The sequence below is a fragment of the Homo sapiens genome, chromosome 7 (genome assembly GCF_000001405.40).
Source record: "Homo sapiens chromosome 7, GRCh38.p14 Primary Assembly".
Lineage (NCBI taxonomy): Eukaryota > Metazoa > Chordata > Mammalia > Primates > Hominidae > Homo > Homo sapiens.
In genome coordinates this window covers 51,091,870-51,116,048 of record NC_000007.14, presented here as the reverse complement: position 1 = coordinate 51,116,048, position 24,179 = coordinate 51,091,870, and the positions used below count along the sequence as shown (strand labels likewise).

The 24,179-nt window shown below is 39.2% G+C and overlaps 1 protein-coding gene across 23 annotated transcripts in view, besides 1 other annotated feature; it reads left to right on the top strand.

The window, feature by feature from the left end:
* Nucleotides 1-24,179, top strand: part of COBL (cordon-bleu WH2 repeat protein) — a 300,598-nt gene that overhangs the window by 200,761 nt on the left and 75,658 nt on the right. The gene's annotated exons all lie outside the window — the stretch shown is intronic.
* Nucleotides 4,344-4,845: an enhancer, noted in NCBI's record as "H3K27ac hESC enhancer chr7:51178901-51179402 (GRCh37/hg19 assembly coordinates)". NCBI's record gives its function as "activates a minimal SCP1, AML or CMV promoter by ChIP-STARR-seq in naive H9 embryonic stem cells {active_cell/tissue: H9 hESC(naive)}" and the evidence as "EXISTENCE:reporter gene assay evidence [ECO:0000049][PMID:30033119]".

Sequence of the window (24,179 nt, the reverse complement as noted above, 5' to 3'; positions counted from 1 at the left end):
AAACAGTAAGCATGAGAAAACTGGAGTGACTAGATGGGTAGCAGGTAAAATAGCCTTACATATTACTAGAGTTTAAGATGGACATTTCATAATGATTAAAGAATCAATACATCAGGAAGATTTCATACTCATATATATGTGTATGTACCTAATAACAGAACTTCAAAATACATGAAGATTTGACAAAATTAGGAGAAATAGACACATCCACCATCATATTGGAGAACAGCATGACTGAGAACAATCTCTCAGATAGAACAACTAGACAAAAAAAATGAGTGAAGAGATAGAGGATCTGACCAACACTACCAACTATCCATATAAATGATATTTATAGAACACTATATCCAACCACTACAGAGTACACATTGTTTTCTAGTACAATGTGGTATGTTTACCAACACATCTCAATATACTTAAAAGGATTTATATCATGTGGAGTATTACATTAGAAATCAACAGTAACAATATGTCTAGGACAACCCTCAAATATTTGGCAAACAACATACTTTTAAGTAATCTAAGTCAAAAAAGAAATCACAAAGGAAATTAGAAACTATTTTGAACTGAAGGAAAAAATATACAATATATTAAAATTTGTGGGATCTAGCTACAGCAGTCCTTAGAGGAAAATTTATAACTTTAAATGTCATATAGAAAAAACTAAAGGTTAAGAATCAAAGACTTAAGATTCCATCTTAAGATGCTAAAAAAAAGTAGAACAAAATAAATCCAAGAAAGAGAGATATAATAAAAATAAAAGCAGAGATCAGTGAAATCGAAAGCAGTAGTAGAGAAAATGCATAAAATCAGAGCTCTTTCTGTCTTTCACATGATCAACCATATGATCAACATATCTAGATTGATCCAGGGAAAAAAGAACATAAATTAATATCAATTTTAAAAGATGGCTTATTAATATGATTCTATAGACATTAAGATGAGGAAATGTGAACTTTTTACCAAAAATTTTGAAAACTTAGATGAAATGGAGAAATTCCTTGAAAAATGCAACTTACCATTTGACACAAGCTGAAACAAAAATCTGAATCACACATTTACTGTGGTGGTGATGGTAATTGCAGTGAATATTTATCATTAGTGTATGCATTCATCCATTCAGCTGAATAATTTAAGTGCCTGCTTTGTGCTACAGGAGATAGCTAAAATTGGAGCTAGTGTTGGGATGTAGAAAATAAACAAGTAAACAAATCCATACAATACTTCAGATATCAGTAAGTTATCACAAGGAATATGTTGGGGACATGATTAAGAGTGACGTAACAGGGTAGTTAGTTTCAATTCCAACTTGAGGAACTCTGCTCTGTGCTAAGGAATAAATGCTTAGGAGGAACTGGCCTTGTGACAATCTGGGGGAAGAAAATCCCAAGCAAGGGACCCCTATTGCAAAGGCCTGAGGTCAGGACAAACTTCTGATCAAGGACAGAGAATGGCAGATACATCATTTCTGTAAGAAAACTTCCAGGTTAGTCTTTTCTCTCATCTCTCTCCAGATTTACTGTCTTATAGAAACAGTATTAGGATGAGATTCTGGCTAACTGTGATTTCTTTCCTTTTTTAAAGTTTTATTCTAAGTATGAGATTTTTGTTTTAGTAAATGTTTCTTATGTTAAATACCCAATTTGAAACACTTATTATCTCTGGATTTTTTTTTTTTCTGGAGTACGTAAGAACCAGCCCTCAGAATTTGACCGTGTATAACAGTGAGGAAGGGGCAGCACGGTAGAGAGACAGGGGACTCCTCACACTGATTTGCCTTTGATGGGTGGAGCTGAGAAAAAAGTCATCCCTGGGGGTTCTGCTGTTGTGTTAGGAGTCACCCCCTCCTGACTGTGTTGGAGGGGCCGCCCCAGCTTCCAGCCTTGTGGCAAGCGTAGACTTGTGTTAGACCTCCCCAGCAGGCTCCCTGCACATATAAAGGTGGAGATCGCTTATGTAGACCCAAAGTCTAGGTTTTGGATCTTTCACAGCAGTTCAGAGTGTTGGCCACATTTTAAAATATCTAATTGTCAGTACTGAGAGGATCACACGGAATAACCTAGAAAACACGCACATTTCCCAAGGCCACCATTTGGCCTGTAACTATAGAGGGCAAGGAGTGATTTGTGTCTATAGATTGAGGTCAGTTGGAAATCTTTCAGCGCAATCACAGGCCTTGATTATTTTTAGACAATGAATATAAAACAGACAACCTTAGGTTATGTGAAGAGAACCACACTTAATTCCATCAAATTCAAGTTTGTTTCATATTTCTCATAAACTAAACCATTAAGTGCTGAGAACAGCAAATAACACATTTCTGATATGGAAGAGAAATTTATTCCAAATAATATTGAAAAGGACTGATTTCTTTAAAAAGCACTCATTCAGACATATTTTTTTTCCAAAATCTATTGTTTTGGTAGAAATAATTATAATAAAAGAAGCACAATATTTTTGTGTTTTTCTATTTAGCCTTCTACATTTGCCAAGGAATAAATGTTAAGGAACCACTTTAGTAATTTTAAGCCGTGGAATTGAGTGACAGTAAAAGCTTCCAGTGACTAAAAACTTTCTTAACAATGTTTTTTAAGAGAGGATAGAATATTATTGGAGAGAGATTAGACAAAATGAAGAGTCAGATTTCTTAATGGACACTTTATAAACAATAGCCATGGTAGCTCATAAAAGCTTTTACTTTTCATTATACAGTTCTAACAGTTGATAGAACAGTAAGCCTGGTAAGTCTTCCTTATTTATGTGGTTTGTATTTTATTTCCTTCATATATTCTGAGTAGTACTTTGCACCTTTGCACTTGACACATCTGCTTTTGCCATTCTCTTAAGAATATTGCCAGAATCCTGCTAGAAACTTGTGATGAAGCATAGATGCTCCAAATGAGCTGTCATCCTGGGTGGAAGTCTATTCCCTGGATGTGTGGGACCAGTACCTCTCCAAGAGATGTTACTGTGCAGAGGGAGTGCATTTCACACCCTAGACCTGTGCCAAAGGATTTTTATCATTTCCGGAAGGTTAAGATGTCTGCAGCTTCCACGTCTTATGGGAGCACATCACCATTAATAAATTTATTTTCGGTTGTAGGAGTTTTTATATTTTGTTTGTGGTTGCCACATATGGGAAGAAGATGATACTTGAGTATGCTTGTCTAAGAAGTGTCTGAAGCTGTTGGCATCAAGAGCACAATTATTATGTTCAAAACAGATCTAGATGGGGCAACTGAAGCTAATGAGAAACCTGATTGTGCCTTCCTGCCTGCAGCGTTGACCTAAGCCCTAGGCACCAGCATTCTTATGCAAGGACCCCAAGGGCCCCTCCTCTGTGGACTGCAAAGCAAGGCCAGACTAGTTTTACTTCTGATGAGACCCAAAGGTGCAAAGGACAGCCGACCCCATGCAAGGCCTAAATGAGGGGAGGATTTCAGCTATTAGTCAAATACTGGTGCTCAGGAAAGAGATCTGTAGAAACTCCCTGAAAGATCTGTGTGCAGAAGTGAATATTGTAACCTATGCATCTGCAGGGACACCCCAACATGAATGGGAGCTTAGAAAGGAAACAGTGCTCATTGATCATGAAGCACTGCTTGCTTCTGGAGGTAACATTGTGTTAATAAGTAGTTTTTAAGTTACATATTAATCATAAACTATATATTTTTAAATGGTCCATATCTTAGAAGTTCTCTGTGGTCCTTTGCTTCCAATGTTTCTTTAGGGCAAAAAATAAAAATAATCCACAGGACACTGAGGAGAGCAATACAATTTCCATCAGTGATGAATTGGAATAGAAATGCTGATGTATAGCAAAGATACTTACTCTATGTACAGAATCTACTTTGTAATCCCACTTCATGGCATTCTAGTTTCTCCTCTCTTATGCTTTTGCAACCATTAAATTGTTTCCAAGCCTTGTACAGTTGACTGTTATGTGTGTGGGAGTCTTTAGTAAAAATAGAAATAGACATCCACCTGAAAATTGCCTGGACTTGTTCTTAGTGGTCCCCGTGCCATGCAAGTGAACTGGATTCCTTTGATGATATTGATGAGGATATTACCTAATCTTCACCTCTTCCTAGGAACACACTTTACCATATGTCCCTGTGAAGTAAGTGTTAAGAGAGTAAAATAAATAAATCGCATTATGTACACAGGCCCTTTCTGCCCAGTCTTGCCATTCAGAAATGCACTCATTTAATCTCCTAGTTGTGAACACTTGCTGGGGCCCATCACATGCCCTGGCTGGCACTGCACAGTGCTGAGCAGCACAGATGGATACAGCTCCTCCTGGTATTGAGGAGGCCCCGTCTAAGAAGATACACAGATGTTACCATGAAGTCAAGGAGCATGCAGGGGCCCAGGCACGGGGGAGAGGCAGCTGTTTCTTTTCTGTGACATGTAGTATTGAGATGGGCCTTGAAGGATGGATGGGTCGTGAGGACAGGACAGTTCAGCGAGAGAGGACACTCCGTGCTGAGGCTGAGGTGGGGCCGGCGGGGAGAATCAGGGCCACTGGAAGAGCAGGATGCCACACTGCACACACCATTTGAGTAGGATCCTGCTTACAATTATGCAGCTAGTGACAGTGAATACAAACCAAGCTTCTTTCCAATGCCAATAATGCCATACTGGCCTCCCATCTGTTCCTCTTGTAGTATGTAAAAGGCCAAGTTAGAAGGGCTTGTTATCAAAGAGAGAAAAAGCAAATGCTGGCAAGGATATGGAGAAAGGGGATGCTTATGCACTCTTGGTGGGAATGTAAGTTAGTATAGCCATTATGAAAAATAGTATGGGGGTTCCTCAAAAACCTAAATGATGCAGCAATCCCACCACTAGGTATTTATCCAAAAGAAATGAAATTAGTATGTTGAAGAGATGTCTGCACCCCCATGTTTATTGCAGCATTATTCACAGTAGTCAAGATATGGTATCACCTTAAAGAACTAAAAGTAGAACTACCATTTGATCCAGCAATCCCACTACTGGGCATCTACCCAGAGGAAAAGAAGTCATTATTCGAAAAAGATACTTGCACACGCATGTTTATAGCAGCACAATTCACAATTGCAAAATCGTGGAACCAACCCAAATGCCCATCGATCAATGAGTGGATAAAGAAACTGTGCTATATACATATGATGGAATACTATGCAGTCATAAAAAGGAATAAATTAACAGCATTTGCAGTGACCTGGATGAGATTGGAGACTATGATTGTAAGTGAAGTAACTCAGGAATGGAAAACCAAACATCGTATGTTCTCACTGATATGTGGGAGCTAAGCTATGAGGACACAAAGGCATAAGAATGATACAGTGGACTTTGGGGACTTGTGGGCAAGAGTGGAAGGTTGGTTAAGGGATAAAAGACAACAAATATGGTGCAGTATATACCGCTTGGGTGATGGGTGTACCAAAACCTCACAGATCACAACTGAAGAACTTATGTAACCAAATACCACCTGTACCCCGATAACTTATTGAAAAATAAAATAAAGATATGGAATCAACCTAAGTGTCCGTCAGCGGATGAATGGTTAGAGAAGATGTGGTATATATACACAATAGAGTACTATTCTGCTATAAAGGAAAAAATGAAATCCTGTCATTTACAGCGACATGGATGGAACTGGAGGCCATTATATTAAGTGAAATAAACCAGGCACAGAAGGAGAAATAATGCAGGTTCTCACTCTTACGTGGGAGCTAAAAAAGTGGATCTCATGAAGGTAGAGAGTAGATTGGTGGTTACCAGAGGCTGCGCAGGGTGGAGGGGAGAGGGAGGAAGAGGGAATGCTTAATGGATATAAAAGTTCAATTAGGTCGAAGGAATAAGTTCTAGTGTTTGGTAGCATAGTCGGATGACTATTGTTAACAATAACTATTGTATAGTTTGAAATAGAAAAGATTTTAAATGTTTACAATACAAAGAAATGCTAAATGTTTGAGGTTAAAGATATCCCAATTACCCTGGTTTGATTATTACACATTGTAAGCTTGTATCAAAATACCACATGTACCCCATAAATATGTACAATTATTATGTATCAATTTTTTTAAAGAAAAAAGAAGAGGCCAAGCAGTTTCCATCCCCTTGCTCTCGCCTGTGTCATTCTTCCTCGTACCTTTGCACAGGTGGCCTGTTTCTTTCACTGCCTCAGCGCTCCATCCTCAGCCACGGAAACATGTGGCTGCCTTTCGTTTCTGTGGAAGGTGGCACTACTAACATGATGCAGTGGTTTCTTTCTGTCTTCCCCTCACGAGACATACATTCTGTGAGTGCAGGGAAGGAGTTTGCTGTCTTTTTTGAGGCTCCCCTTCCTTTGTGGAGAACAGTGCCTGGCATGTAGTCAGTTTTTTTAGTAAAATTTTTGAGAAATAAATGAGTGATCGAGCCTGGTAGCACAGTGGTAACTGACTCTGAGAGACAGAACGACAGAGAGGGAAGAAGCATTTAAGATAACTCAGGCAGGAAATGCAAAGGGCCTGAATAAAAGCAGGGGTAGCCAGGGGTGGGGGGCAAGGAGGGAGATGGGATTTTAGGACTGTCACAGCAAGAACTGAGGTGCTTCAGGAGCAGTGCAGTGAAGGTGGCGAGCGAGATGGAAGTGGCAAAGAATCCAACCTTTAAAGATTATCCAGAAGGGTCCGCAGATGCAGATGATGATGCAGAACCAGTTGGAGCTGAAATGTCTACAGGAACCGCACTGGCAGTTGTCTGGAGCTCACAGGGTGGTGCATTCACACAGGTGGTTTGAAAATGACCACCAGTAGGTGGTAGTTGGGGAAATAAGAATGGATGAAAACCAGAGATGAAGAGAAGAGGCAGCCCTGCGGAGCACCATGCCCAGGATGGGGAGCAGCCCGAGAGTGTGCAGAAACTCGCATAGTGCAAGGAGGGAAGAGGCTGCCTGGTGGGAACTCACAGGACCTTTGGATGTGACCATCAGAACACTGGGCCATTCACACAGGTGCCACACTAGGCAGGAGGCCAGTGGCAAGGAAGGTGGGGTGACCGAGACTAAGGAAAAGGAAGTTGAAGTGGAACCAGTTCTTTCAGTAAACTTCATGGGGCAGGGGGTGTGTGTGTGTGTGTGTGTGTGTGTGTGTGTGTGTGTGTCTATGTGTCAGTGTGTGTATCTTTGTGTGACGGCTCCATGATGGGAGAAGTAGGCAGGTGTCTTTGATAAGGAGGTACTGGAGAGCTATACAAGAGCTCAGGGTGACCTCCCCAAGGCTGGCTCCAGCGCCCCAGGGAGGGCTGAGTTTGGGGGAAGCAGCTTTCCTTTGGAGAATGGGGCCCAGTGTCTGAGAGCTGGCTCCTGCCTGGGACCTCCACTTTTTCTGAGTTATGGGGTAAGATCATCTGCTAACAGGGAAGGGAACGAAGGTGGAGTAACCCAGGAGGCCACAGGATGGGAATACATGTTTGGAATTTGCAGATGGGAAAAGCAAACAGAAGGAATGAGAATAAGGATTTCTAAACAATCACTTTGCAAAACTGTTTGCCAGCGACTTCAATAGCTGGTCACACACCCCATGACCCAAGCACCTCCAACTGTGTGCACCTCCAACAGTTGCACCAAGCCATGCACGTGAGTATTCACAGCAGCACTGTTGACAGCATCCCCAGGCTCACCCCAACCGAATCCCTTTCCACAGTCCAGCACATAAAGCGTGGTGTATTCACACCGAGTGCCACTGCACAGCAACGAGCCACACAGCAGCGGATGAGCCTCAGAGCAAAAGAAGCCAGATATCATGATACAAAGCCCCAAAACAGGCAGAGCCAGCCTCCACTCATGCCACCAGGAGAGTGGCTGCTGTCAGGAGAGGGTGGGGAATCAGAATGTTGGCCCGAGGATCCTTGGTGAGCTTGGCCCACAGTGGCAGGGAAGAGGAACAGAGTTAGGAGTGCTGGAGGCTGGAAGCGTGGCCTCTGGGTGAGCCCTGGATCTGACTTAGAGGCACCAGGCAGGATGGAAACATGTAGGCAGTGGAATATTCTCTTTTCCTCTGAAGACATACTCCAGGTTTCTGCTGAGGGAGAGGGTGGGCTGCAGGAAGGATGACACTGCAGGAGGAGGAAGAATCAGTGGGAAGTGGTGGCTGCTAGCAGGACACCCATTCTCTTGGACTGGGGGATATTTTGCTGCAAGTGGCAGATGCTATTAAATCTCTTGGCTTGATTTACATATCTTCCTTCCTGTTTATTAAGGAGATTCCCTGCTGCTTTGGCATCTTGTATTCCCCAGGGGACTGTGAGGTGGATCCTGTCCTGTGCCTCTAAGGGCCTCTTTGGGTTCTGCTCTCTCTGGGTCCTGAGTGCAGCCCGGGTACGGAGAGGTGAGAGGTCTGCCCATGGTATGTTGGTACTGGTGATTGGCAACTTGTATACATGCACCAGTGTACAATTTTAAAAGAAGCAGTATCTTCCCACATTATTTTAAAAAAGTAAAAAGATTATAAACGTCTGCACATATTTCTAGCTAAAACAATTTTAGCAGAAAAATTAATCCTTAACAAATATTGATATTTACTGAAGTGGGAATATGAAACCATGTAGTTGTATAATATTTACTGAACTGGGATATACATATTGGAAAATATGAAGAGATCTCCATGTTAAAACCTCTATTTAAAAATACTAGGGCTGGGTGTGGTGGCTCACACCTGTAATCCCAGCACTTTGGGAGGTGGGCAAATCACGAGGTCAGGAGTTCCAGACCAGCCTGACCAATATGGTGAAACCCCGTCTCTACTAAAAATACAAATATTAGCTGGGCATGGTGGCGTGCGCCTGTAGTCCCAGCTACTCAGGAGGCTGAGGCAGGAGAATCACTTGAACCTGGGAGGTGGAGGTTGCAGTGAGCCAAGATCACACCACTGCAGTCCAGCCTGGGTGACAGAGTGAGATTCTGTCTCAAAAAAAAAAAAAAAAAAAACAAACAAACTAGGATCACAAAAAAAGTGTTAAGTATTTGAGGTGAGGGATATGTAAGCTTGCTTGATTTAATTATTCTACATTGTATTTACAGATCATAACATCAACTTTGTATCATAAATTTATACGATTATAAGCTGTCAATTTGTAATGAAAATAAACTAGGAGCACATTAGTATTCTGTTTCAGGGCATTTTGTTCTCAGTCAGGTAGAAAAAAAAAGGACTTAAACAGCAACTTTTGTTTCTCCTCATAACTTTCCATGAAGCATGCCCAGTATTTTTCTTTCTGTAATTAACAAGAATGATGATGATAGAAACTGTTTTCCCTGCCAGCATGCCTGTGCCCACCTGTGAAGAGGCCTTTCATTTTACCAAGTGGAACATCAAGAACTGCAGGGAATCATTTGGTTGACCTAAGGCATCAGCATTTGATGGGAGTCTTTTCAACCTTGCTTAGGAGCCTCAAGAATAAAGCAGAATCGATGGCAGAAAATATAGTGATTTTATATTTATCTAACAGCAAATGACTAGTAAAAACTTCCTATACCTTGGGTACAGGCCTATGATGTGTGGTTTGTGCAGTCCCTGGGAGAACTCTTTTCTTGTTTCGGATTTGGGATTGAAATGGCGACATGTCACTTAAATTAGAATTTTCCTCCTCCATCTGCCAGGATGACACCAGCCGGGATACTGCTTCCAGCAAACATGCCCCTTACACACAGGGGTCGGCACTGCTTTATTACAGTGACCAAATAAAAGCATAGCTTGTTCTCGACAGGAAGATTCACTTTTGAAATTAAGACTATACAGGAACATGTAAGGTTCAGAATCCCCAGGTTTCATATTTCACAGATGACTGGGGTGGATGTATTTTTTTTTTTTTTTTTTTTTGAGACATCTCGCTCTGTCACCCAGGCTGGAGTGCGATGGCACGATCTCGGCTCACTGCAACCTCCACCACCCTGGTTCAAGCAATTCCCCTGCCTCAGCCTCCTGAGTAGCTGGGATTACAGGTGCGTGCCACCACCCCCGACAATTTTTTTTTTTTTTTTTGTATTTTTAGTAGAGACAGGGTTTCACCATGTTGGCCAGACTGGTCTCGAACTCCTGACCTCAGGCAGTGGGGTGGATGTATTCTTTCTGGTGTGATTTGGCAAACCTTGCAAGGTGCCAGGTGCTCCCAAATTATTCCTGTAAGATCAGGATGTCACCATTTCCTTCACTCCTCCTGAAATTCTGCGGAATTAAAGTCGTTCTTTTGTATTAGTACTTAAGCCTTGTTTTCCCAGGCCTCTCTCAGCCTAGGAGGGAACCCAGGAGGACAGAGGGTGGATCTGAGATGGGGTCTTGTTCTGTTGCCCAGGCTGGAGTGCAGTGCAGTAGAACGATCACAGCTCACTGCAGCCTCGAACTACTGGGCTCAATCAATCCTCCTGCCTCAGCCTCCTGTGTAGCTGGGACCACAGGTGCATGTCACCACACCCAGCTAATTTGTTTGTATTTTTAGTAGAGATGGGGTTTTGCTATGTTGCCCAGGCTGGTCTCAAATTCCTGGGCTCAAGTGATTTGCTTGCCTCAGCCTCCCAAAGTGCTGGGGTTACAGGTGTGAGCCACCCCACCCAGCCAACTCATTTAATTCTTACACCAACCCTGCAGTAGGCATGCTATCATTATCCCATTTAAAATGAGGGAACCAAGGCACAGAGAGGTTTGGTATTTGAGCAAGTTCGCGCAGCAGGTGGTGGGTAGCAGGGCAGGCAGGCTGCTGCAGAGCCTGTGCGTCCTTGTCTTTCTGTAGGGTGGTACTGACTGTGAGAAACACGCATTCACCCGTCCAAACCCAAAGAATGGGCTCGGAGACACGAAAAACAGCAGAAGCGAGACTTTTAATGGCGGTCTTGGAAGATCGGGCGTCTTGTAGGCAGGCACACCCGGGGCAGGTACAGCAGGTAATTTATCTCCTAGCATGGAAGTCCCTCCCCAGTTTCTCAGTGGTCGAGTAATATGGGGTTACAATTTTCCTTGACGTCACCTAAGTTTCATTACCTTCCTTTAAGGTTATACCCCGTCCCCTTCCCTGCTTAAGTTTCGATTTCCCAATAACAAAATTTTCTTCCCTTTTATGGGCTGACCCCCACTCTACATTGTGTTCGCTTATTGTGACTTTCTAGACGCATGAACTTGCGGTTGGTTACATTCTCAGGCTGGCTGCTCATACTTAGATTTATCATGCCTTGAAAATGGACCATTTAAAATGTTTTCTTACATGTCAATGCATTTAGCCTCAAGAAACTTAACCAGGTGACAGAGGATGACTGAATTCTCTCAGGACCCTGGTGTGCCCTACAGGAGTGAGACCAAGATCTAGGTAGTTCATATCTGTTTCTGGGGGTGATGTCAGGGTCTCCAGGCTCCCCTTAGACTGCCGACTGTTGGTTAGGGGAGTGATTAGGGTGATGGTGAGAAGAAAACTTCAGAATAACCTGCCCACCAGTGAGGGCACTGGTTTCTGTACTTTTCATGTTATTACTTACTTAATCCTAACAGTAAACAAGGGAGGCAGGTAGTATTTTTGTCCACGTTTTACAGATGGAGAAATTGAGGCACAGAGAGGTTAAGCAACTTATCCACCATCACACAGCTAATGGTGGACACCAGACTCTAAGCCCTGCAATCTGGCTCCAGGGTGTGAGTGGGGCCACCACGCTGTGCTCTCATCTCTTGCTCTGCTTTTCTAGGCTGTTCTGGCTCATAATCTTTTTGGTCATCATCTTAAAAATACAAGTATATTTAGAGGAAATTACATATAATCATCATGTAAAAGATTAATAGGTTAAAATGTAGGTTTAAAAATTTAATTCAGAGTAGCTTCATTATACTAAAATGTTAGCCTCCTGGTGTCTCTGGAAAATGAGAATATGATAAAGAAATAACTACATTAGGTATTGAGGATTTATCCTGTTATGTACAAATCTCTTTTAAGAAATTACTTAAGCACTTTAGAGGGAACTCTTTCTAGAATGAATCACAAAACTTTTCTGAATTCTCAGACTTGACCCTGACTCTCTCAGGAAACTTTGGGCTTATTGATTAGTGGAAAGGGAATTAGATAACTTTGGTGACAAAGTTAGGCAGGCGCTGCAAAGTGGCCGCCAAGGCCTGGGTTGAGGCTGGGGCCGAGGCCAGGTGCGGGCAGGCCTGTCGGGAAGGGCACCCCTCTGATTTGAGTTAGATATTCCAGCTCTGCATGGTTTGAGTCTGTGTTCTGAATAGGTAAGATTTCCAGCAAGCCAGATTCTCCATGGATGAGATGCCACTTTATACTTTAGTTAGTGAAGGAAATGTCAAAAGTTGTAATATTATTGTAATGTGTTTTATTGTTGTACAGGTATCTGCAGGTTTATAAAATAAACATCTTCATTGTAAGCTAATCATTTGGAGGAAATGTAGAGCACATAGCAAAATTAAATCCAGGTTTATTTAAAGTAAAATGGTAAAAAAAACTAAATCATAAAGCCACTTTAAAATAGTACGAATTTTAAAAACTTCGAATCAAGTCCCTTTCTTAGTATGCCACATGGTGAGAAACCAAAAAAGGGCGGAGAGAACCCTGACAGATTGAATCAGATAAAATTTTACCTTCTGAAAAAGTAAAATTTAGAAAATTCAAGGCCATGACAAACTAGGGAAAATATTTACAATATATATGCTATTTAGAGGATATTGCTAAGAGCACATGGACACCACAGTAGGAAAAAAAATTGATGTGAACAACCAATTCTCTCTCTTTCTCACACACAAACACATAAATAATAAGCATTAAACATTGCTAATCCTAATATGTGAAAAAATGTAAATTTTTAAAGTATTCAGAACACTTACACTTTGATAAAAAAACAAGCATGGTCATTGATACTCTGTGTTGTTGAATGGGGGATAGGGGCTGCTGATGACTTAAACTAATAGCCTTTCTGAAAGCCTGTTTACAGCATGAATCACAGTTTTTAAGAATGTTATTTTTTTGTGGTAGGAACACTGAACATGAGATCTTCCCTCTGAACAAAGTGTGAAATGCACAAGAGTGTTGTCACTCTGAGCACAGCCTGTGCAGCGGATCTCTAGAGCTTATTCATCCTGCATCAGTGGAACTTTGTACCCCTTCAACAGCAACTCCCATTTCCCTCTTCCCCTCATCGCCTGGCAACCACCTTTCCACTCTTTGGTTCTATGATTTGACTATATTAGAAGAAATCCACCTGGTTTTCCTTCGCTTGTGTGTATTATTTGCCCATGGGCCTTGGCACTGAGGAGACCCACATGTGAATGAATGAACAAATCAACAAACAAGCGAACAAATGAATATGTAAATGGATGCAAGGTGCTGAATCCTGCTCATTTTCTTATTATACAGACCAAGGCTCTGTGGATGTCTGTCTTCTTTAGCTAAACAAGTGAGACCTTAAGGAGTGTCTTCACTTCCCCTAAGAATAACGTGAACCTAATGTATGTGTACAGATGAAAGGCATAAAGGGACATGGAAGATAAACACACCAGCATTTAATCACCTTTTACTAAGTTCCTATGAAGTGCCACTCCCAGAGTGAGGTATAGAACCAAGGTCGGGAGTGGGAGCGTGAGGCTGTGTCTGGTGGTGAGAGTTCTTATCTGTCCTCTTTAAGTTAGAACTTCCCTCCCCCTTAAACACTTCTGACCTCGAGGATGATGTACATAATTGGCACAATGAGATTATGAGACCAAAGAAACCAAAGTGGAGCAAATGCTTCCAAAAATGACCCAGAAATCCGTCACTGTTTCTGCTATTGGGGAAAGTTTCCTTCCTACCATATGCCAGACGGGAGGCATTTAAAAATCAGTCCTGACCAAGCAAAAGAGGTGTCTTAGCTCACACTGCTATAGAAAATATAAACTGGATGGGTTAAACAACCATTATTTCTCACAGTTTTGGAGGCTAGAAAGTCCACGATCATGGCGCCAGAAGACTCGGTGACTGATGAGTGATCTCTTCCTGGTTTTCTGACAACTCTTTTTTTGCTGTGTCCTCATATGGCAGAAAAAGAGCTAGAGAGCTTTTTGTGGTCCCTTGTAAGGGCTCTAATGCCATTCATGAAGGCTTCACCAACTTACCACTTCCCAAAGGCTCCACCTTCTAATATCACCTTGGAGGTTAGGATTTCCACACCTGAATTTTGGGGGAACACACACATTCAGTCCATAACGAGAAGGCACTAGATTTCCTGGTTGCGGGAAGGAAAAGGGCTAGCTGCATGCTTTGGAAATCAGGCAGGACTAGATATTAAGTGTTCCTCATAGAATATGCTAAAGATAGACTTTTAAAGTATTTTCTAAAGCAACACTTTGAAGCACAAACTGGTTTCTAATATGCCCAGTAGGTGGGTGCTTTACTAGGTGAGAAATCCATGGGCTTTAGTCACTATGGTATCATAAAAATAAACATTTCCATTCAAAACTGCAGCAGTTATTTCTTCCTGACCTATCAGCCTGAGGCTGGGAAGGCAAGGTAAGGACAGTGGTTAAAGAGGATGGGCTTAGAGTCAAACCAAAGCTAAATCCTCACTCTGCTCACTTATTACTTGTATGATCTTGGACAAGTTATCTTTCGTAATCTTCAGTTTCTTCCTTTATAAAAATAGATATAGTAAAATTACCTCCCTTTGGGGGGATTTGAGTCATATGAGATACAATTAACACCCTGAGTAAATGTTTAATAAATATTTATGGCTGACAATGTTAATATTTGCTTGAAGTCTCTAAATACATCTACCAGAATCCTTTTGTTTAAGCACCTTAAACTAACACAAACTCCCATTAGACCTTGTCTTTATTGAAGGGTCTCTGACTTTGCCAGACATTTTTCAAGCATGTTATCTTAATTTACCAGGAGTAGCACCATGACTGGGAAATACATGGTATTCAATAATTGTTTGTTGAATAGATGTTATTAACTTTGGGAGAAGAACTTCCAGAGGCAAAGCTAGGCAATTTTGGCAAAGCCTCAAGGAGTTTAATGCTTCTCCAAATTGTGTAACAATGAGTGAGCCAGAACCATCTTTCAACAGGTGAAATTGCTTTTTCAAGTTGGGTAAACAATTTGAAAAAGAGCTGCTGCTGCGTTTTTTTTTGTTGTTGTTTTTTTTTTGTTTCTTATTGAAGACGGAGTCTTGCTGTGTCACCCAGGCTGGAGTGCAGTGGCAGGATCTCAGCTCACTGCAAACTCTGCTGCCCGGGTTCAAGTGATTCTTGTGCCTCAGCCTCTTGAGTAGCTGGGACTACAGGTGTGGGCCACCATGCCCTGATAATTTTTTTGTATTTTTAGTAGAGATGGGGTTTCACCATGTTGGTCAGGCTGGTCTCAAACTCCTGACCTCATGTGATCTGCCTGCCTCAGCCTCCCAAAGTGCTGGGATTACTGGCGTGAGCCACTGCACTCAGCCAAAAGAGCTGCTTCTATGCCCTCCTTTTCTAATTAATTACCTTCAGCTTAATGTGGACCCTTAAGAGAATTCTGGAATATGTCGTTATTATTACAGCCATCAGTGAGAGCTTAGAGGGCTTCAGCTAACCAATGTGGATTCATAGAACAAAGCAAGTCCCCAAGTAGGATACAAATGGTAGTTTTTGGTAGTGTTTCCAACCTGGTAGATTGTGTGAATGCTATAGAATTATCTCTCCTCCATTAGACTTTGAACAGCTTGAGGTCAGGAACGTTTTACATCTTTGAATCCACTACAGTTCCTATCACAGAGAAAGGACTCAGCAGCCCCTTGCTAGTTAATTGAAGGAGTAAGTGAAATCGTGGCATTTAACAAAGTCTCTCAATATTTTAAGGAGAGAATGAGAAATAGAGACTAGAAAATAATACGTGGGCAAACCTATAACATTTGAACAATCACCATTAGTTAATAGATTGATGTCAACTCTGAAGGAAGAAGTCTAGTAACTAAAGCCAAGGTGTTATGGCTTTCAGTGTTATCAACAAATAGGGTGGAAATAATAGGCAGGATTACCACAGTGGAGGTGGTGGCAAGGCCAGGCATCTCATCTCTTCCTAAGAACTCTTGAATACTCAGGTATAAGGTCGAGTCAGGGCTTCTAAAAGACTAGAACACCACATCACACCAGCCTCTAGGCCTAGAAAAGTCTTACAAGTTAGAACAGTGGGCTAAAGTGATAAGTAGGTATTAACAGAAAAAATGGAAAGGTTTCATATCCATTTATTTGAAAGAATTCTGGTGATATTATCACAAACCGAATGTGAGCTAACCAGATGACAAGGACTCTTTATTATTAATAATAATGGTGGTTAAAAAATTGTGGTTAAAAAAACCACATAGCATGAAATGTATAATCTTAATCATTTTTAAGTGTCATGTTTAATATAGGCACCTCTAGATCACTAGAACTTTTTCATATTGCATAACTGAAATTTTATACCCATTGAAAAATAATTCATCTTTTCCCCCTCCCTCAAGCTCCTGGCAACCACCATTCTACTTTCTAAAGTTTGACTACTTTATATAGCTCATGTAAATGGAATTATGCGATTATTTGTCTTTTTGTGACTGGCTTATTTCACTTAGCATAACCTTTTCAAAGTTTCTCTAAGTTACAGCATGTGTCAGAATTTCCTTGATAATGTTCCACTCTGTGTATAGACCACATTTTCTTTATGCATTCATCCATCAATAGATATTTATGTTGCTTCCACCTCTTGGTTATTGTGAACTGTGCTGCAGTGAACAAGAACACATCTCTTTGAAATTCTGTTTGCTGTTCTTTTGGATGTATATCCAGAAGTGGGATTGCTAGATTATGTGGTAATTCTATTTTTAATTTTTTGAGGTACTTTATACTTATTCCATAGTACTTGTATCATTCCACATTCCTACTAACAATGCATAAGAATTCTAATTTCTCCGCATCCTCACCAACACTTGTTTTCTCTCTTTTTTTTTTTTTTTGATAGTGGCCATCCTAGTGGAAGTGAGGTGATATCTTATTGTAATTTTGATTTGCATTTCCCAGATGATTAGTGATGTTGAGCATCTTTTCATATGCTTTGTGGCCATTTGTATATCTTCCTTGGAGAAACGTCTCTTCAAATTCTTTGCCTCTTTGTAAATCAGATTGTTTGCTTATTGTCATTGTTGACTTGATGCTCTTTATATAGTCTATATATTAACCCCCTTTCAGACATATGGTTTATAGATATTTTCTCTCATTCTATAGGTTCCCTCTTCACTCTGTTGATTGTTTCCTTTGTTGCACAATAGCTTTTAAGTATGATATACTCACATTAGTCTATTTTTGCTTTTGTTGTCTGTACTTTTGGTGCCATATCTAAGAAACCATTGCCAAATAGAATGTCATAAAGATTTCCCTCTATGTTTTCTTCTAGGAACTTTATAATTTCAGGTCTTACATTTGGATGTTTAATCCATTTTAATTTTTTTATATGGTTAACGGTAAGGGCCCAATTTCATTCTTTTGTATTTGAATATTTTGCATTTTCCAAACACCATTTGTTGAAGAAACTATCTTCCACATTGTGTTAACACCTTTATCAAAGATCATTAGATTATATACATGAAAGTTTATTTTTGAGCTCCTTATTCTGTTTCATTGATTTACACATTGTTCTCTATGTCAGTACCATACTGTTTTCATTATAGTAGCTTTGTAATATGTTTTGAAACCAGAAAGTGTGAGGCTTCCAGCTATGTTTTATTGTTTTCTTCCCCTCAAGATTGCTTTGGTTATTTGGAGTACTTTGAGATTCCATCATGACCTTTAGGATTTGTTTTTCCTATTTCTCCAAAAAAAAAAAAGAAACTGCTATTGGGATTTTGGTAGTGATTGCTTTGAATGTATAGATTGTTTTGGGTAGCATGGACATTTTAACATTATTAATACTTTCATGAAAATATTTATTGTGTCTTCTCTAATTCCAGCAATGTTTTGTAGTTTTCAGTGTGCAAGTCTTTTTTATCTCCTTGATTAAGCTTATTGCTTTTTTTTTTTTTTTTTTTGAGATGGAGTCTCGCTCTGTTGTCCAGGCTGGAGTGCAGTGGCGCAATCTTGGCTCACTGCAATCTCCGCCTGCCGGGTTCATGCCATTCTCCTGCCTCAGCCTCCTGAGTAGCTGGGACTACAGGTGCCCGCCACCATGCCCGGATAATTTTTTTGTATTTTTAGTAGAGACAGGGTTTCACTGTGTTAGCCAGGATGGTCTCGATCTGCTGACCTTGTGATCCACCCGCCTCGGCCTCCCAAAGTGCTGGGATTACAGGTGTGAGCCACTGCACCCAGCCTGATTAAGCTTATTTCTAAGTATTTTATTATTTTTAATGCAACTGCAAATTAAATTATTTTCTTAATTTCCTTTTTAGATTGTTTATTGTTAGTGTATAAAAACAAAACTGATTTTTTGGAATTGATTTTGTATCCTGCAACTTTGCTGAATGTATGTATTAGTTCTAACAGCATTTTTGTCAAATCTTTAGGATTTTCTACATATAAAATCATGTATATGCAAAAGGAATAATTTCACTTCTTCCGTTTTCAATTTAGATGCCTTATATTTCTTTTTCTTGCCTAATTGTTATGGCTAGGACTCCCAACACTATTTTCAATAGAAATGGGAAGAGAAGGTATTCTTTCCTTCTTCCTCGTCTTAAAGAGAAAGCTTTCAGTTTTTCACAATTGAGTATGATGTCAGCTGTGGGATTTTTATGTGTGGACTTTGTTAAGTTTAGGTAATTTCCTTTGATTCCTAGTTGTTGAGTGTTTTTTTAAATCATAAAAGGGTGTTGAGTTTTGTATGGTTTTTGTCTTTCACTGTGGCATATTACATTGATTGATGTTTTTATATTGAAGCATTCTTACCTTCCAGGAATAAATCCCGTGTGATTGTAGTGTATAATCCTTTTATTGTGATGTTGAATTCTGTTTGCTAGTGCTTGGTTGAGAATTTTTATACCAATGTTTCATCAGGGATACTGGTCTGTAATTTTCTTATACTATCTTTGTCTTATTTTTGGTGTCAGGGTCCTGCTGGCATCATAAAATGAGTCTGGAAGTCTTCCTCCTCATCAATATTTGGAAAGATTTTGAAAAGAATTTGTATTTGTTCTTTAAGTATTTGGTAGAATTCTCCATTGAAGCCATCTGGTTGTGGGCTTTTCTTTGTTGGAAGGTTTTTGGTTACTGATTCGATTTCCTGACTGCTTATAGGTTATGTCCAGAATTTTTGTTTCTTTATAACTCAGTCTTAGTAGGATATATGTTTGTAGAAATCTATCCATTTCTTCTAGGTTATCCAATTGGTTGGTGTGTAATTATTCACAATAGCCTCCTATGATCTTTTTTGTTTTTGTAGCATCACTTGTAATGTCTCTTTCTAATTTTTAAAATATGAGTCTTCTCTCATTTTTTACTTACTGTAACTAAGGGTAGTCAATTTTGTTGATCTTTTAAAAAAACTGAAATTCTGTTAATATTTTAACCAAAGTTCTTTTTTCCTTTTTCTATTTTCTATTTCATTTATTTCTGCCTTAATCTTTCTATTAAATGTTGGTTTAATTTGTTCTTTCAGTTTCCTGAGGTACAAAGTCATATTGCTGATGAGCTCTTTCGTTGTTTTTCATATGGGTGTTTATTATTACAAGCTTTCCTCTTAGAATTGCTTTGCCTGAATCCCATGAGTTTTGGCATATTATGGTTTTATTTTCATTTGTCTCAATATATTTTCTGACTACCCTTGTGATTTCTTCTTTGAACCATTGGTTGTTCAAGATTGTATTATTCAGTTTCCACATATTTGTGACTTTTTCACTTTTCGTTTTACTATTGATTTCTAGCTTCATTCCATTATTTATAGTCAGAAAAGATATTTGATATGATTTTCATATTTTTAATCTTGTTAAGACTTCTTTTGTGGCTTTAAATGTGATCTATCATAGAGAATGTTCTATATAACATAGAGACAGAGAAAGAGACAGAGATAGGTATCTGTTAGATCCCATTGGTCTATATTGTTGTTCAAGTCCTCTATTACTTATGGATCTCTCTGGTTAATCTATTCATTATTGAAAGTGGAGCATTGAAATATCCTACTTTAATTGTGTTTCTGTCTATTTCTACTTTCAATTATGTCAATGTTTGCTTTATGTATTTGAATACACTGCTGGTAGATGCGCATGTATTTATAGTTTTTATACCTTCCTAGTGAGTAGATCGTTTATCATTATATAAGGTCCTTCTTTGTTTTATGACAGTTTTTGACTTGAAGTCTATCTTATTTGATGTAATTATGGCCATATTCACTCTTTTAGTTACTATTTGCATGGAATATCTTTTTCCCTCCTTTTACTTCCAGCCTATTTATGTCCTTATATCCAGAGTGAATCTTTTGTAGACAGTGTATAGTTGGATCTTGTTTTTTAATCCATTCAGCCATGAATGGATTAAATATTTTGATTATATATTTTGATTGGGGAGTTTAATCCATTTACATTTAATTATTTACTAATAGAGAAGGACTTGTTACTATTTTGTTAATTGGTTTCCGTATATCTTGTAGTTTTGTTGCTCTTTTATTCTGTTGGCACTCTCCTTTGTATTTTGTTGACGTTTGTAGTTACATAGTAATATGGTTTGGCTGTGTCCCCCACTCAAATCTCATCTTCAGTTTTAGCTCCCATAGTTCTCACGTGTCGTGAGAGGGACCCAATGGGAGGTCATTGAATCATGGTGGTGGATCTGTCCCTTGCTGTTCTCATGATAGTGAATAAGTCCCATGAGATCTGATGGTTTTATAAAGGGGAGTTCCCCTGCACATGCTGTCTTTGCCTGCCGCCATGTAAGACATGATTTTGCTCCTCATTCACCTTCCACTGTGATTGTGAGGCCTCCCCACCCATGTGGAACTGTAAGTTAATTAAACCTCCTTCCTTTATAAATTGCCCATTCTTTGGTATGCCTTTATTAATTAGCAGCATGAGAACAGACTAATACACAGACTTTGATTCCTTTTCATTTCTCCTGTGCATCTTTTGTAGGTATTTTCTTTGTGCTTACCATGAGGATTACATAAAAATCTTATAACAATCTCTTTTAAATTGATAACAATTTAACTTCAGTAACATACAAAAGCTGTTTTCCTTTGCATTTCACCCTATACACATCATATTTTGATGTCACAAAGTACATATTTTCATACTTTGTATTTATTCACAGTTTTATACTTATATTTTTATGCTTTTATTTTTTAAATTCTCTACCAGAATTAAAAATTATTCACACACTATTGTGAACATATTATATTCCAGGATTATGTATTTGTCTATATAGTTACTCCATCAGAGAGTAACTTTATATATTCATATGCTTTCATGTTGCTAACTAGTGTCCTTTCCTTTCAACTTGACAGACTTCCTTTACCAATTCTTGTAATGCAGGTCTAGAGATGATCAACTTCATCAGCTTTTATTTATCTAGCTAGGTCTTTATTTCTCCTTTATTTTAAAAATTTATTTACTTTTAATTGATAAATAATAATTGTTTATATTTATGGGGTACAATGTGATTTTTAATCTATGTATGCATTGTCAAAATATTCAATCAAGCTAATTAATGTATATATATTACCTCACTAACTTTTTTTTGTGGTGAGATTATTAAAATTATATTCTTTAAGCAATTATGGGATATACAACACATTGTTATTAACTATGGTCACCATGCAGGGCACTGAAACTTATTCCTCCAGTTTAACTGAAACTTGGCACCCTTTAACCAATGTCTCCTCTTTTCCTCTCTCTCCTCTACTCCTCAGCTTCTGGTTGCCACCTTTCTATTATGTTTCTATGAGATCAACTGTTTTAGATTCCACATATAAGTGAGAACATACAGTATTTGTCTCTTTGTGCTGTCTTATTTTACTTAGCATAATGTCCTCCAGTTCCACCCATGATGTCACAAATCACAGAATTTTCTTCTTTTTAAAGGCTGTGTATTGTTACATATATATGTAATATAAATATATGTGTTTTATATACATATATATATATGTATATAAAAAACAATTTATCCAAGTATCTGTTGATTGCCACTTAGGGTAATTCTATATCTTGACTATACTTTTTTTTTTTTTCTTTTGGTGTCAGGGCCTGGTGCCATCGCCCAGGCTGGAATGCAGTGATATCATCATGGCCTCCTGCAGCCTTCAATCCCTGGGCTCAGGCAATCCTCCTGACTCAGCCTCCTGAGTAGCTGAAATTACAGGCACATGCCACCATACCTGGCTAAACTTTAAAACATTTTTTGTAGTGACAGGGTCTTGCAGTGTTGCCCAGGCTGGTCTCAAACTCCTGGCTTCAAGAGATCTCCCTGCTCAACCTCCCAAAGTGCTAGGATTACAGGTGTGAGCCATTGTGCCCTGCTGTGGGGATAGTTGGCTCATACAGCCCTGCTGTGGCATTCATAATAATGTTGAAATGAACATAGAAGTGCAGATGTCTTTTGATGTACTAATTTCAATTTTTTTGGATAGTACTCAGAAGTGGGGATGGTTGGATCCCACGGTAGTTCTATTTTTAGTTTTTTGGGGAACCTTCAACATATTTTCCAAAATGGCTGTACTAATTTACATTTTCACCAACAATACACAAGGGTTCATTCATCTTTTTTTGTCATAGCCATTCTAACAAGTGTGAGGTGATACCTCACTGTAGATTTTACTTTGCATTTCTCATATGGTTAGCGATATTGAACATTTTTTCATATGTATGTTGGTCATTCGTATCTCTCTTTTTTTTGCAAAATGTCTGTTCACATTCTTTGCCCACTTTTTAATTCAGTTATTTAGTTTTTTGCTATTGAGTTTCAGTTTCTTACATATTTTGGTTATTAGCCTTTTATCAGCTATATGGTTTGCAAATATTTTCTAACAAATCCATGGATTGTCTCTTCACTCTGTTCATTGTTTTCTTTGCTGTGCAGGAGCTATTTAGTTTAATGCATTCCTATTTATGAATTTTTGTATGTGTTAATTTAAACAAGGAGGTGAAAGATCTGTACACTGAAAACTATATAGCATGCTGAAAAATTGGAAAGGGCACACAAAAATGGAAAGATGTTTCATGTTCATGGATTAAAATAATTAATATTGTTAAAATGTCCGTACTACCCAAAGTGATCCTACACATTTAATGCAATTTTTATCAAAATTCCAATGTCTTTTTTCAAAGAAATAGAAAAAAACAATTCTTAAATTACTGTGGAACCAGAAAAGAATCCAAATCTTGAGCAAAAAGAACAAAGGTGGAGGCATCACACTCCCTGATTTCGAAATGTAAAGCTATTGTAGTCAATAGCTTTGACTACAGCATGGTACTGGCTAAAAAACAGACATATCAACCAATGGAACAGTACAGAAAGCCCAGAAATAAACCCAAGTGTTTATGGTCAATTGATTTTTGACAAAGGTATCAAGAACACACAATGGGGAAAGAACAGTCTCTTCAGTAAATGATGTTGGTAAAGTTTGATATCCACATATGGAAGAATGAAATTGGGGCCTTATTTCAGGCCATATACAAAAATCTACTTAAAATGGTTTTTAAAAAGTTAAATGTAAGGCCTGCAACTATAAAGCTACTAGAAGAAAACATAGAGGGAAGCTCTATGACATTGGCCTCGGCATTGATTTATTGAATGAGTCGACTTCACTTTTGAAATATAGTTTTGCCAGATGAAGCAGTAGTCCCCACCCTTTGTGGCACCAGGGACCAGTTTTGTGGAAGACAATTTTTCCACGGACCAGTGGGGCAGGGATGGTTTCGGGATAAAACTGTTCCACCTCAGATCATCAGACATTAGATTCCCATAAGGAGTGCACAATCTAGATCCCATGCATGCACAGTTCACAATAGGGTTTGCGCTCCTAAGAGAATCTAACGTGGCCACTCATGTGATGTGAGGCAGAGCTCAGGCAGTAATGCTTGTTCACTTACCACTCACCTCTTGCTGTGCAGCTTGGTTCCTATCAAGCCACGAATTGGTACTGGTCTGTGGCCCAGGGTTTGGGAACCCCTGAGATAAACTATTCTTGGTTGGAAGTTTTTAAGTATCCTTGATTGGCAGGTGGCGTTTTTTTTCTCCGTTTTTAGCACTTTGAATATG